The sequence below is a fragment of the Homo sapiens genome, chromosome 3 (assembly GCF_000001405.40).
Source record: "Homo sapiens chromosome 3, GRCh38.p14 Primary Assembly".
NCBI lineage: Eukaryota > Metazoa > Chordata > Mammalia > Primates > Hominidae > Homo > Homo sapiens.
The window spans coordinates 106,717,892-106,731,853 of record NC_000003.12 but is presented as its reverse complement, the minus strand read 5'-3'; the positions used below and the strand labels follow the sequence as shown (position 1 = coordinate 106,731,853).

General features: G+C 37.1%; 1 long non-coding RNA gene across 1 annotated transcript in view; it reads left to right on the top strand.

Annotated features, from left to right (window-relative positions):
* Positions 1–13,962, top strand: part of LOC105374029 (uncharacterized) — a 65,172-nt gene that overhangs the window by 18,881 nt on the left and 32,329 nt on the right. The window lies entirely within an intron of this gene.

The window sequence follows — 13,962 nt, the reverse complement described above, 5'->3', positions numbered from 1 at the left end:
GGAAGCTGCTCGCTCCTCCTACCTGTGCCTTTTGAGCACATATCCTTGGGTCAGGACTTAAGTCCCAGGAGAAGTATATTCCAAATGCTATTCCCTGTGCTGTGGAGGGTTCTGTGAACTGGAATGATTTAGACTGCAGCAGGAAAGGGAGATAAAACTCTGAGACAGTCGGTGTTGACTCCAGTCTTGTATTCAGCTAAAGACATTCTTCACTGTGGAGACCAATGCATTTGAACTTGACTTTTGACTATCAGCTTTCCTGTATTAAACCTCATGGACATATAGAGATAGCAATTTTCAGTTTATTTTCGATAGCTTTTACCTGGCCAATGAGGTTGGGTTAGGTTAGTGGTTACTAACAGACAGCCAGAGAAGTGCCCCAGAGCTGTGGATAGCAGAGTGAACTTGCGGCCAAAGTGTTGGCTAGCAGAGTGTTGATGGAGCCAAAGGTCAGCCTCTAAACACAATCTCTTCTGGGATTGTGGGTCTGAGCCTGGTAGTGTGCCATTTGATGTCTGCTGTTGAATGAGATAGGGGCATGGTAAACAACAGGGAATTAGAGGTACAAAGTCAAGCAAGACCATATAGAAGGGCAGATACTAGAAATTTAAAAATAAGAGGATCAGAAGAAATCTTAGAATAGGGCAGAAGCCACTTTATGTATGTCTATGGTAACTGGGTGGAGGTATTTATTGCATACAAGGGAGTAGTGATGTTAGAAACACTAACAGAGTCCTTTCACCCTCATCATCTCATTCTGCTTCTCACAGTAACCTGTTAAGACAGGGAAGGAACTGAAGCTCAGAGAGGTTGGGTGACTTGTCTAAGGTTGCCCAGATAAACAGAAAACACAAAATTGAAAACCCAAGACTTCTGATTTTACACCAACTCCTCAGTCTGGAGTTTTTGTTTTGGTGATAAGCCCCTCTTTTCCACTGAAAGTTATCTTTGTTATTAATAAAAAATGCCTTAACTGTATCAATTTTTAAAATCTTTCTTTGTGAGGGGATTTTAGGAAACATACCTCAGTATGTGTCAGGCCTATCACCTTCCTGAGACTGGCTGGCTCTGCAATAAGTTAGAAAGTATGATTGTAAATATCTGTGAGCATTTTATAGCAGATATCACACTGCTTATATTCTGTACAGAATAACATATTTTAAAGAGTGCATGAAACAAATCAGTTTATTTCCACTAAAGATTATGCCTTCATATCTCTTTTCTTTATACTATCTTGACCAGTATTTTCCCATGTATATATCATAATGTCTCTGGCTTTTCAGTTTTTGTCTAAATATTCATTCAATCGTAGGTAAAATATTCAGTTTTAGGTCCAAATTTCCGGGACTCTGAGTGGACTTGAACCTTTAGATTCTCAGAGTTCTATCAATATAATGCCTTAAAGAACTGCAGGGAGTTCAAACTTTGTGTGAATTTACATAGGTGTTACTACATCCATTCCCTATGTCTGGTAATAATAGTTATGAATCGCTGCTAATATTTATTGAGCATTTTTACCTATATCAGACAACTATGCAAATGTTTTAATATTTTATCTCACTTAATCTTCACAACTATGCCATAGCGTATTTTTGTCCATTTTCATATAAATACACTGAGCCTCAGAGAACTGAGGTAACTCTCTCAGGGGAGACAGCAGTTGGCCAAACAGGATTTGAATCAGGTCTGCTAAACACTGGAACCCATGTGCCAGCATGCATGGTGAAAAGATAAGAAAAAAGGGAGGAAAAACAGAATATTTAATATTATAAAAACCTACATAACAACACAGAAAGGTACTTTAACATGGAGAGAGATTTTTTAAATGCAAGTCTCATTTTATTCCATTTTCAAGAACAGAATAAAGCAAAAGAACATATGCAGTGGTTCCTTACAATGTTATCCTGCAGTAAGCTTTAATGATTCCTCTTTGCATTAATGTGGACAACTAGTCTGGGCTCTCTGGCTCTGGAGATACAGTTTTATATTATTTTTTTTGTTTAAAGTGATTTTTATCCTTTAGGTGGATAAAAGTTTGGCTCTAGGTGAACCGAAGTGATTTGTAAAATAGCAAAGGGCTGTGCAACATGCCAAAACAGTAAGAGAATTGTCTATGCATGTAAGAAGCTGGTGGCTGTGGGTGAAAATAAAATAGTGGCTAGATCAGCTGTTGATGTGTGAACTTGTAAGGAAGACTATTAGGTCTGGGAATTCCAATTTATGCTTCCAGCTTTTCTTTGAATATTGAGGAAGGAAGTAAATGAATACATACTGAGAGTTTTCTGGGCCACATGTTATTCTAGATAATTTTGACAAAAGTTTCTAGTTTGCTGCACCCAGAAAACCTTTTGTGAATCACCTTACTATCCCCATTTTACCAAAGAGAAATGCAAAATTCTGTAGCTAAAATATGACAGAACCAGAAGTTCAATGTATGTCCTTCTGACTTCAAAATTTAAAATTATTAGCCATGTAAATTTCTGTGGATTCATAATCTGACTGTCTCTCAATTTATTTTCTGTTCACCCTTCTAGTTGCCATTCTGAGAATCTGAGCGACTTCAGATGAAAAGAAGTTTTATGAAACATTTCTACAAAATTTCTTGGCTAAGGTGTTATACATAGAAAACTACACATATGTCTATTGATTTTGTTTTTGAATTGATAAAACCCAAAGCAAAGCTCAATAATGGCTGTCTCCATGTTTTAAACTGCTAGCAAGACACTCAGACCCACAGAAAGCACAATATCAGTGTTAGTTAAATTGAACTAAACACAAAATCTCTACCTCATAACAACCAGTAGTCAATCTATTTGATATAAGAAAATATTTAAGAATCCCTATGTGATCTGAATTACAATTTTTACTTCCATTTTGAATTCCAGTTCATCTAACAGATTCCTTCCACTCTGAAGTTCCCTTAGTTCCACATTCCTCATGCTATTCCTTTGTTCAGAAATCTACAAAGGCTGTCTTTTGCCTGTCTCATATATAAACACTTTTTCTTAGCTTTCAAAGTCTTTAATAATCTAACCTACCATAACCAGCCAGCTTAAGAGTAGACACGCAGGGGGGAATATTTGAGTGTGAATAGAAGGAAAGAGAAACAATAGAATACTTTTGTGAAACGCAGGGGGGAATATTTGAGCATGAATAGAAGGAAAGAGAAACAGTAGAATACTTTTGTGAAAATTTTGTGGCTTTAAAATGCTTGGCGTGAGTCATGTGTAATTGTTTCTAACTCCCCGAGTGATACGTCTGTGCCTTGTTAGTCTGTAAGAAAAACATGAATTTTCTGACCAACTCTTACTTACTTTCTCTATCTCCCTTCATGTACTTAGTCACTCTGTGTGGACATCCTGGCTGATCTCCATTAGTGGAAATATTCATGTCTACCTCCAAATTGTTTTGTCCTTAGACATTTTTCTGACTCATGTCTCTGATATTCTTCAGTCAACACATTTGGACTACTTGGGCTATGAACAAGGATATGAAGAATGGAACTGCCATAAACTCAAGTACAATATAATTAACAAAAATGAAATGGAGAGATAACATTACAGTGAGGGTAAGGTGCTGTCTACTCAGGAAACATAAAGCCCAAATTTGATTCAGAATTTATATTAACTCCTAGAGTTTCTTTGAATTAAGAATGTCGGTTCTGAAACAAAATTATTGGGTCCAAGTGAGCATTTCCAAATATAGGTCAGAGAAATGATAGGTGAGACTGGAGACTGATTCTTCTTTCTGATACTTTGTTGTTGTTGTTACCAAATTACTATCGTTTAGTCAACAAGCCTACACTGGAAGTCCAAGGTACTTTCCATACAATTGCAATCTAGTATTCATATAGTAAAATTTTAGATGAAGGCAAATAAAGGAACACTACTGCATGAATCTACAGCTCCGTTGGTTGGCAGCATGAAGTTAAACTAGCAAAACAGCCTTTAATTCACTACCATCCTAACATGATGTTTTTTTCCATCCATTCTGGCTCTTTGTGCTGTGGATTATGGAGAGATATCATAGCCATGGCACGTGGGCTCCTCTCACTTCTTTTCTGATTACCTTTGAAGGTCTTAGTTGTGTGTGGAAGTCATCTATTAAGTCACCCAGGTTTGGTTAGCTTTAGGCTTTAGCATTTTTCCCCTACACCATTTGACCATTACTATGGTATCTCCAAGTCTCCAAGATTCAATAGAGATTTCCTTGTTGAAAATTGGTATTGTTGATCATTTATCTCCCAGAATTTCTGCTTTCACATAATTCTTGACTTTTTGTAAACTCTCCCGTGTCATTAAAAATATGTTTTTTTCTGAGTATTTTAGAATTTTAGTTAGGGGAGTCTTTCATAATTCCTAGACCACCCACCCTGCTGGACACAGAAGCCAGGTTCCCCTTATGCTTCAGTTCGTGAAGAATGATTATTTTGGACCAAAGTCTATCTAAGAACATTTCAAAAAAGTGATTAAGAACTGGCACCCTTAAAATTTAGGTGTTCTTAATGAACATTTAGGTGTTGGCTAGAACACCCAAATTTTAATAATGACTTCATAAAATGGCTCTTTTAACTTGAGAATTGTTCTCTTTAAGCTTTAGTTTCCTCATTTGTAAAATGGGAATAATAGTAACATTACCTGCTTCATATGATTATTGTAAAGACTAGATATGTATAATGAAAAATGTGAGTGGGAAATAAAGCGGGTTTAAAGATGGTGGTTGATATTATATTTTATTTATCTCCAACGGCAGCACCACTACCTTTTGCTCCTAATGCTAGAAACAGGCAGACTTCCTAAAGCAAAGGAGGCTTTGTTTTGCTGCTTCTTTCACCATGTATTGGAAATTACTTAAAAGGAACATTACTTAAAAGGAAACAAAAGTTAAAAAAAAAAAAAAGAAAAACAGCAGCTAACATTTACTGAATATTAGTTGTGCATCAAAATGCTAGTTATTTTACATTAAATATTGTTAAGTCCTCACAACATTTCTCTAAAGCATATTTTATCTTTCCCCATTATAGATAAAGAAACTGAGACTCAGGCAGGTTAAGTAATTTGTTCAGAGTAACACAGTTAGAAGTAAATAGAGACAATTTGACTTTTGAGGTTGTACTCCTAATTAATATGCTAGAACTGCAATGTCAAGGGTCAAAGTCAAGGGTCACATAAAGAATTTGTGTGAATACTCATATTAGAATGTTCTTACTCTTTGATATTCACTCCTCCTTCACCAATATTATGGCTGGCAGAATCCTACTGGTATTTGAAATTGCCTTGCCTCTCTGAAGTTTTTCCAAAGGCGAACAGAATTAAATATCTCCTGTTTGCTCTCATAGCACACTGCAAAAGCTTTATGGAAGCACACATCACTATGTTTACTTATTCCTCCCTTTTTCTCTATCCTATGACCTTCCTGAGTACAGAAAGTACTGTACTGTACTGAGTACAGAAAGTACACACCTACTTGATTATTATTATTGTTATTGCTGTTATTGTTATTATTTTGATCACTGGAGATGCACACAATACTTGCTGTTTCGGACTGGCTCAGTATCTGATTTTGAAATGGATGATCTATTTCAAAGTTATTTTTCACACAATTAAATACTTTACAAAAATCCAAGAACTTCTGACTTCTAATTCTTCACAATTGACTATGGATTTTTGAAATTTGTTTGCTTCTACGTATACCCAATTCTGCTGTATATTGGCAGCCTTTCAAGGTTTGGGAACAAAACCTTGTCTATTTGTGTTACACTGGTCCCCAGATCACCATAGGTTCCCAATAAATCTTCATTCTAATCAGCTTTTGAAAATGGGGCTTCAAGCTTTACTGCAGTCAGTTATGTAGATGGCTGTAACCAGGGCCTTCTCTTTAGGTACAACCACCTTTCCAGAATTGCTTTTCTTTCCTCAGCTCCATTTACAAGGCTGCAGCTTTCCAGAACCATATGTTGCAGCTGAATTGTGCTTTCCCCTAGTAGTAGGATATCAATTTTTTTTAACACCATGTTATTTACTAGTCCCTTGGTTATACAAGAGAACTAGGAATCTCACATGTTAGCAATTGTAGCTCCAGTAGCTAAAGATTTACTACAGGCAAGCACACGTTTACAACATGGTTTACAGATCTCATCTCTTAACTTCCTGCAGAAGTACATCTGGGCCTGAATCTTAAGCATGCTCCGGAGCTGGACAGTCATTACCGTGTGTGTGTTTTGGTCTGGATGAGTAGATAATACAAGAGAATGATACTTTTAAATTTAGCTATGTCTTTAATATTGTTATTGGTGTTACATGTCTGTGATCATTTCCCCACTGGCAAACTAAGCCTTCATTACAAAATCCAGTCATGCAATTTGCATGCTTTAGAGATAAGGTTAAGGCTCTGTCAGAGCACTTAACCACAGGTGTAAAAATGTTGTGATTAAAAAGAGACTGCACATTTAAGTAGGAGTAATTAGAAGTGAATTCTTAATTGCAGAGTTACACAAGCATTTATGCTTTGCTTTGCTATCCTAAGCCTTTGAAAGGTGCTATATAAATGCAAATTGCTTCTCACATCATTCATGCCATGTATTCATGACATTGAAAATGTGCACTTATACTGAACTAAGCTTAATAATAAAATACTAAATATGAAATATCTATTAAATAGAGCTATACTTCCATCATCCAATAAGCATATTTCTGTATTTTCCATTTTAAACATGTACCTATGCTGATGAGATGCAAGTTCTCTCTGATTAAGAGAATAAAGAAACTCTTCAGACTGATTCAACTATAAAACTATAAACAGTTTTTTAAAATATTATTATTGTAGCTTAATAGTGTTTCAATTAGACAGTTTCTGAATGTGAACCACCACTAGTTTTAGTACATTCATTGCCTGTTGGCAATTTAAAGAACACCTTCTTCCAACACTCACAGAGATTCTAACTTATGTATTTTCAGAATGTTCTGTTCCTATAGATATTTCAACCTTCATTTTGACCTCTCAACACAATCTCCACATAAAAAGTTTGGATTGTGAGCTGGGCGCAGTGGCTGACGCTTGTAATCCCAGCACTTTGGAAGGCTGAGGTGGGCAGATCACCTGAAGTCAGGAGTTTGAGACCAGCCTGGCCAACATGGTGAAACCTTGTCTCTGCTAAAAATACAAAAATTAGCTAGACATGGTGGTGCATGCCTGTAATCCCAGCTACTGGGGAAGCTGAGGCAGGAGAATCACTTGAGTCTAGGAGACAGAGGTTGCAGTGAGCCAGGATCGTGCCACTGAACTCCAGCCTAGGTGACAGAGTGAGACTCCAGCTCAAAAAAATAAAAAGAAGTTTGGGTTGTGGACTATGGAAAGTAATTTTTATGAAGACCAAGATTTAAAACTCATAGAAAATATTAGGGTCTAATCTTCATGTATTAGTCCATTTTCATACTGCTATAAAGAACTGCCTAAAATGGGGTAATTTTTAAAGGAAAGAGGTTTAATTGACTCACAGTTCCACATGGCTGGGAAGAACTCAGGAAACTTACAATCATGGCAGAAGGCAAAGGGGAAGCAGGTACTTTCTTCGCAAGGTAGCAGTAGAGAGTGTGTGTGAAGGAGGAATTGTCAAACACATATAAAACCATCAGATCTGGTGAGAACTCACTATCACAAGAACATCATGGGGGAAACCACATCCATGATTCAATCACTGACCACTGGGTCCCTTGCTCAATACGGGGAGATTACGGGAATTATAATTCAAGATAAGATTTGGGTGGGGACACAGCCAAACCATATCACCTCACAAATATATGCCAGAAAATGGCAAACATTATGTCCGCTTATGAACCCATGTTCTATGTATTTGTAAACAAAAAGAAATTATTTTAAGATGGTACTACTCGATCGTGTGTGTGTCATTACGTCATTTGACAAGCTGGTTAAAGTACGGATTCTGATTGAAGAGGCTTGAAGTGGAGCCCAAGATTTTGCATTTCTAATAATCTTTCTTGTGGTGCATAAGCTATTCCCTCCAGACCACACTTACAGTAGTAAGGTTTTAGGGCAGGGGTCTGCAAACGTTTTCTGTAAAGATCCAGATATTCTAAGCTTTGTGGGTCATAGGATTTCTGTCAGATCTAGTCAATTCTGTCATTGTAGCACAAAAACAGTCATAGTTAATACATAAATAAATAAGTATGACTGTATTCTGATCAAACTATGTTTACCAAAACAGGATGAAAGTGAATTTGGCTCCTGAGCTGTAATTTGCTAACACCTGCTTTAGGGAACTATGCATGTTCTTGTAATCAACTAATCTATACTCAAAACTTGTATCTCCTCAAAATTAATATGGCAGAGATTAAATTCTTGAATGATCAATGACTGTCAGCCTCTGGAATCTCTAAATATAAATTTATATAGGCCCAATTTACATTTATCGTACTTCCTTCCTTTTCTCCCTGGTGTCTTCATTTTCTTCCCTCTCCCTTGTTAATTTTTCAACATCAAATATTCCACATCCTCAAATGAAGCCACATAATTAATCAAGCAGGTAATGTTGGAAATCAAAGCTGAAATATATTATTAGATTATCCGTATCCAGTTCTTTACCCTTTCTGGGTCAAGATCAAGTTCCCCCTTCTGGACAGATGTTTTTATTTTTCCAATTATCTAGCATCAGTTCTAGAGTTCACTTGAAATCCAGAGGTGATATTTCATTTAATCGATCAGGTAGGTTCACGTTCTCTACACCAGACTGGGCAGTCACAGTACCGATGTGTAAAGTGCTTTTTACTTTATTTCTGCTTTTCAGGGAAAATAAAATTAAGGAATATGCCAAATTGTGTTTTGAATATTTAACATTGGTAACTCTTAGGAATGTTAATATCACCACACAATACTAGGCAATCACTATGGCATTTTTATTAATTTGACTACTAAACAGTCAGTAATTTTGAAAGAATTTATATATTTTTTTTCTTGAAATACAAGATATGTCAGGTAAAGTGTTAACACAAATAATGGGTTAAAACTGAATTAGATAAACTGTAGCCTCAGAGTCAAATACATCTCACCTGCTTTGTGTGTGTAGCCAGCAAGCTAAGTATGTTTCTTACTTTAAATTTTGGCAAAAAAATCAAAAGATGAATAATGTTTTGTGACATGAAAATAATATAAAATTGGAATTTCAGATTCCATAAATTTTTATGGAATTTTATTAGACTATAGCCACATTTATTCATTTTTGTGTCATCTGTATCATCTATGGCTACTTTGCCCTACAATGGCATAATTGATTAGTTACAACAGAGATTATTTGACTCTCAAAGCCTAAAATATTTACTATCCGTCTAGTGACAGAAAAAACATTAGCAAACTCTAGGCTAGAACATAAATGTCCCATGATTTATATCTATGGACTTTGCTAAAACTGGATCATGCCTAACATTGATTAATTAGTTAAAATAAAGCAGTTAAGAAGATTGAACTCCAAGGAAGTGGTATCTGGAGGAAATAATCAAAGAAATTGATTAGAATATCTGCATCTTGTCTAGTTCACAATATAACAACAATTTTTATAAAAATAAACACTTAATGCATGCTAACAGTGCTAAGTGCTTTGTGGGCCTTATGGTCCCTGTTACAACTAGTCAGCTGGAATCATTTCATGACCCTCATTGCCATTTGGAATAGACACTATTGTTATCTTCATTTTGGATACAAGTAGTTGAGACATAGGTTAAATAATCTGTCCAGTGTCATCTAACCCACACATAGCAAAGTCAAAATTTGAACAATTTGATCCTTGAGATCAAAGTTTTAACTATATAACTCATCAAGAGCTTGCAAGGATAGTATCAATTTTCTGATATTTTCAATGTGTAGATGATTAGGTAATCTGTATGTGGGGAACTATCCATTTGCTCATGATCTTTTGATCTTGATAGCAGCAGGAGGCAAACGCCTAGGCAGATGGGACAGGTGCCTGGTGAAATCCAGCCTTCAAACCAAAGAGAGCCTGAAGCCTGAAAACCAAGCTACAAGTCTTAGATAAATCCATGGACTTAAAGAGAGGGTTGAGAAACTGTCTTCACATTTGGCGTGCTTTCCTCTGATTGATCCTCACCTTTCACCTATTTTACATATACCTACTCTTCCCTAATTGTTTTTTTATTTTTTACTTTTATTTTATTTTATTTTATGAGACAGAGTCTCACTCTGTCACCCAGGCTGGAGTGCAGTGGCACGATCTCGGCTCACTGCAAGCTCTGCCTCCCAGGTTCACGCCATTCTCCTCCCTCAGCCTCTCAAGTAGCTGGGACTACAGGCACCCACCACCACGCCTGGCTAAATTTTTTTTGAATTTTTAGCAGAGATGGGGTTTTACTGTGTTAGCCAGGATATTCTTGATCTCCTGACTGTGTGATCCGCCCACCTCAGCCTCCCAAAGTGCTGGGGTTACAGGCGTGAGCCACCACACCAAGACCTTAATTGTTTTTTTAGACTGTCATGCCCACCTTTGAGTGGCTCTTTTGTTTTGAGCTTTTTTGCATACTCACAAACCAATCAGCATGCACTCCCCCATTCTAAGCCCATAAAAGCCCAGAACTCAGGCACACTTTGGGGACTGCCCCACCTTTGGACTGAAGCTACATGACTTTGGGTGGGGGCTGCCCTCTCTGGGTCCCCTCTCTGGTGAGAGCTGTCGCTCAATAAAACTCTGTCCTGCTCACCCTTCAGTTGTCAGCGTAACCTCATTCTTCTTAGACATGGGACAGGAACTTGGGACCTGCCGAATGCGGGTACAGAAAAGCTGTAATTCTGTGGCCCTCTGCCCTCTGCTGGCACCCACCCAGTGGCCAACCCACGTGACCCCAGTGGTGGGGCCAGGCCAGCCCCAGAGCCACAGCCTCGAGTGGGGCAATGGGACTGAAAAGACTGTTAACACACCCGTTTGTTAGGCTACGGGCAGTGGGACTAAAAGAGCTCTTAGCATGCTGTAATAACACTTTTGCGGCTGGCATACCTGTTCAATGCCACCATGTTCCTCTCATCCAGATGCCAGCACCCAAGGTGGAGGCAGGTTGCAGTACGCTTGGCCCAGCTGCAGGCTGAGCACGGATCCCACAGCGAGCGCGGGATCCAGGCCAAAGTGCAAGCTAGGAGCTCCCACCACTGGGCCGAGTGGGAGGGGTGCCTCCTGCAGTGATCCCAGGGCTGAGAGAGGCCCCGGGCAGGGGTGTGTCAGGCCATGGAGATCTCTGGCTGGCAAAGCAGCACCAAAAAATCCTGCATCAGTCTTCTGGCCTGAATGCCAATTTGTGACAGAATGGAACTCCTGTAGATTATTATTTCACTGAGGTTTACACCTCTTTTAAAATTAATTTTCATATTTCCCTCAGGATTTGATTTACTATGAAACAACACGAAGCCAGGTGGGTTGAAGTTTATTAGGAAAAAATGGAAGCTTGGGGAATCTGAGGAATATTTTCAAAGTACAGAAAACAGCAGTACTGTGAAAGTCTTTATAGAGCAGAAATGATTTAGGACGGGGCCTCCAAAAAGGGGAACTTTGCATAGCATAGAAGTTGTGACTTTTTCTTTACCTGGTGGTCTCATTACAATTCTTAAAGGCTGATAACCTTTACTTAAATACATTTTTTGCAATGACACATTTATGCATATATGCAGCAGGTGAGCAGAGGGCATAGTCAGGGCTTTCATTACTAAAATTAGATGCATCACCAGCTTTTTCCTCTACTAAAAATTTAGCTAGCACAGAGAACAATAGGTCATGTGCATAAAGCAATTAGTGATATCAACACCTGGACAATCACCGAAATTCAGGGGAGGATACCTTAGCATGGGAGATTTATTTACCCTGGACTTACTGTACTGTCTTAGGGTGAGTACATTCTCCTGGTAGTAAACATGGTCTCCATACAATCCCACTGGTGGAGTTAAAATCTACTGGGGTAGATGTGTGGTTAATTGTAGACTAAAAAGTTTCTTTGTTGTTGTTTTAAGTTAGGAAAATAATGAGAGTGCTTTGAATTCTCTGTGCATTTCTTTTTTCCCTTATTGCATCATAGACCTCCACTGCTGACCTTCAGGCTGGTCTATTTAAAGAAACCTTTGCCCCGATGATTTTGGAGGTGGTCTCTTGAGTGAGTAATTGGGCATTCAGTTGGAAGCTTTATTTGAGATTGGGCTAATAGGTTAATTCTGTATTCAGAAATGCATCTCATAGTGTAGACAACGATTTTTCTTAAAACAGCAAGTTGTCATGCCAATTCTCATTTTGCAAACATTTTGCTTTCTTCTGATGGCAGGCACTTTTGGTAAACAGATCATATTATTTAACTCTATCTGCTTCTGCATTCACAGCAGAAATACAGTTTCTCCTCTAAAAAGAAACTTAAATATTATATTTATAATTCATATGAAGGCTGTGGTAGCTAGCATGAAGTACTTATGGTTATATTCAGATGATAAAAATATCTAATGAATGTCTAGTTGAGAGCTAGCTCATTACCATTGGCCTTGAGTGCAACATCATTTAAATTCAAACAGTACTGCCCTCTGCTATGAAAAATTGCCCAAAGGGTGAAGAATTGTCTCCAGTGCTATTCATTGATGTACATTAAACCTTGGTGAAGAACAGATTTCCACTGACAGTTATGAAAGGGAAAACCAGAGTGCTTTTTGGAAAACTATTTATTTCAATGAATAATTTCCAAATAATTTCATTAGATAATTGAGGCTTTTCAAATACAAATTTACAGATAATTAGGACAGAAAGACGAATAGTGACATTTAGTAATGCCTTACCATGAAAACAGCCTTGGCTGCCTCTCTAAAAATGAACATATAATTATTAAAGCCTCTTCATCTTATTTTGTTATTTATTACAGGTCATGGTCTATTAAGTTTCCTGCAACCTGATGAAAATGTGAATTTTGACTTAGCAGTACTGTGAATAACAGAAATCTATTTATCTATCTGGTTTGGTTTTATTAACCTAAGGAAGACACACACACAAACACACACACACACACAACACACAGAGGCACACACACATATACACTCACCCTTTCCCCGCAATTTCCCTTAGCAGGGGAAAAACAATAAAACAAAAAAACCGAAGAAAGAAAGAAAGTGGAGAATACCGGGAAGGGAAAAAATAAAATAATTTCCCTGCCTCTATGTTTCTTTTTATGTTTGTTTGTTTGAATTTCGTAAATATTAATAAATATTTGTGTCAAATGATATCTGAGTTCTTTGGCAGGAAGCATACATTTCTTAGAGAATGTTAGAAAGTAGGATTTGAAGGTATAGGTTACGAAAACTATATTTTTCTCCTTTTTAAAATAATAAAAGAATGTTTTTGTTGCTGATTCAATTTGTAATTATGAACATTTATCATTACCTCATTTGTTTATCATAATTGTGCCTTCTCTTTAAAATGAAATAGTGACAGTAGTATTTACCCTGTTTACCTCATGGAATATTGATAGGATGAAATAAAAAAACTATTTAAATGCATCAGCATTATTTCAATTTGTTTGAAAACTACCCCAAAATATTTAAAATAAACCAAATATTTTAATTTTCTTGAATATCCAGAACTGCTTTTTTTAATTAATTGAAGGAGAAAGTAATACTAACCAAATTCTGTTCAGTTTAGTTAGGCAGTTTTTCCTGATCCTCTCTCAAAGAAAATAATGCAAGTGCAAGAAAACCGTTACCCACATTTAAGTTCAATTGAAGAAAAATAGGTAAATTTCCTTGATGTTAAGACTGTTGTTTAGCTATTGACATATTTGTCACCATGTCCCTGCATGCCTTTGAATTTCAGTACCATCCAAATAAACTAAATTTACTGTCTTCCTTCAATGTTTTGCCTTAATGCATTTGAAATATCTACTATTAGACCATTTTACTTAGATGATCCCTTATTTATTGCTACCC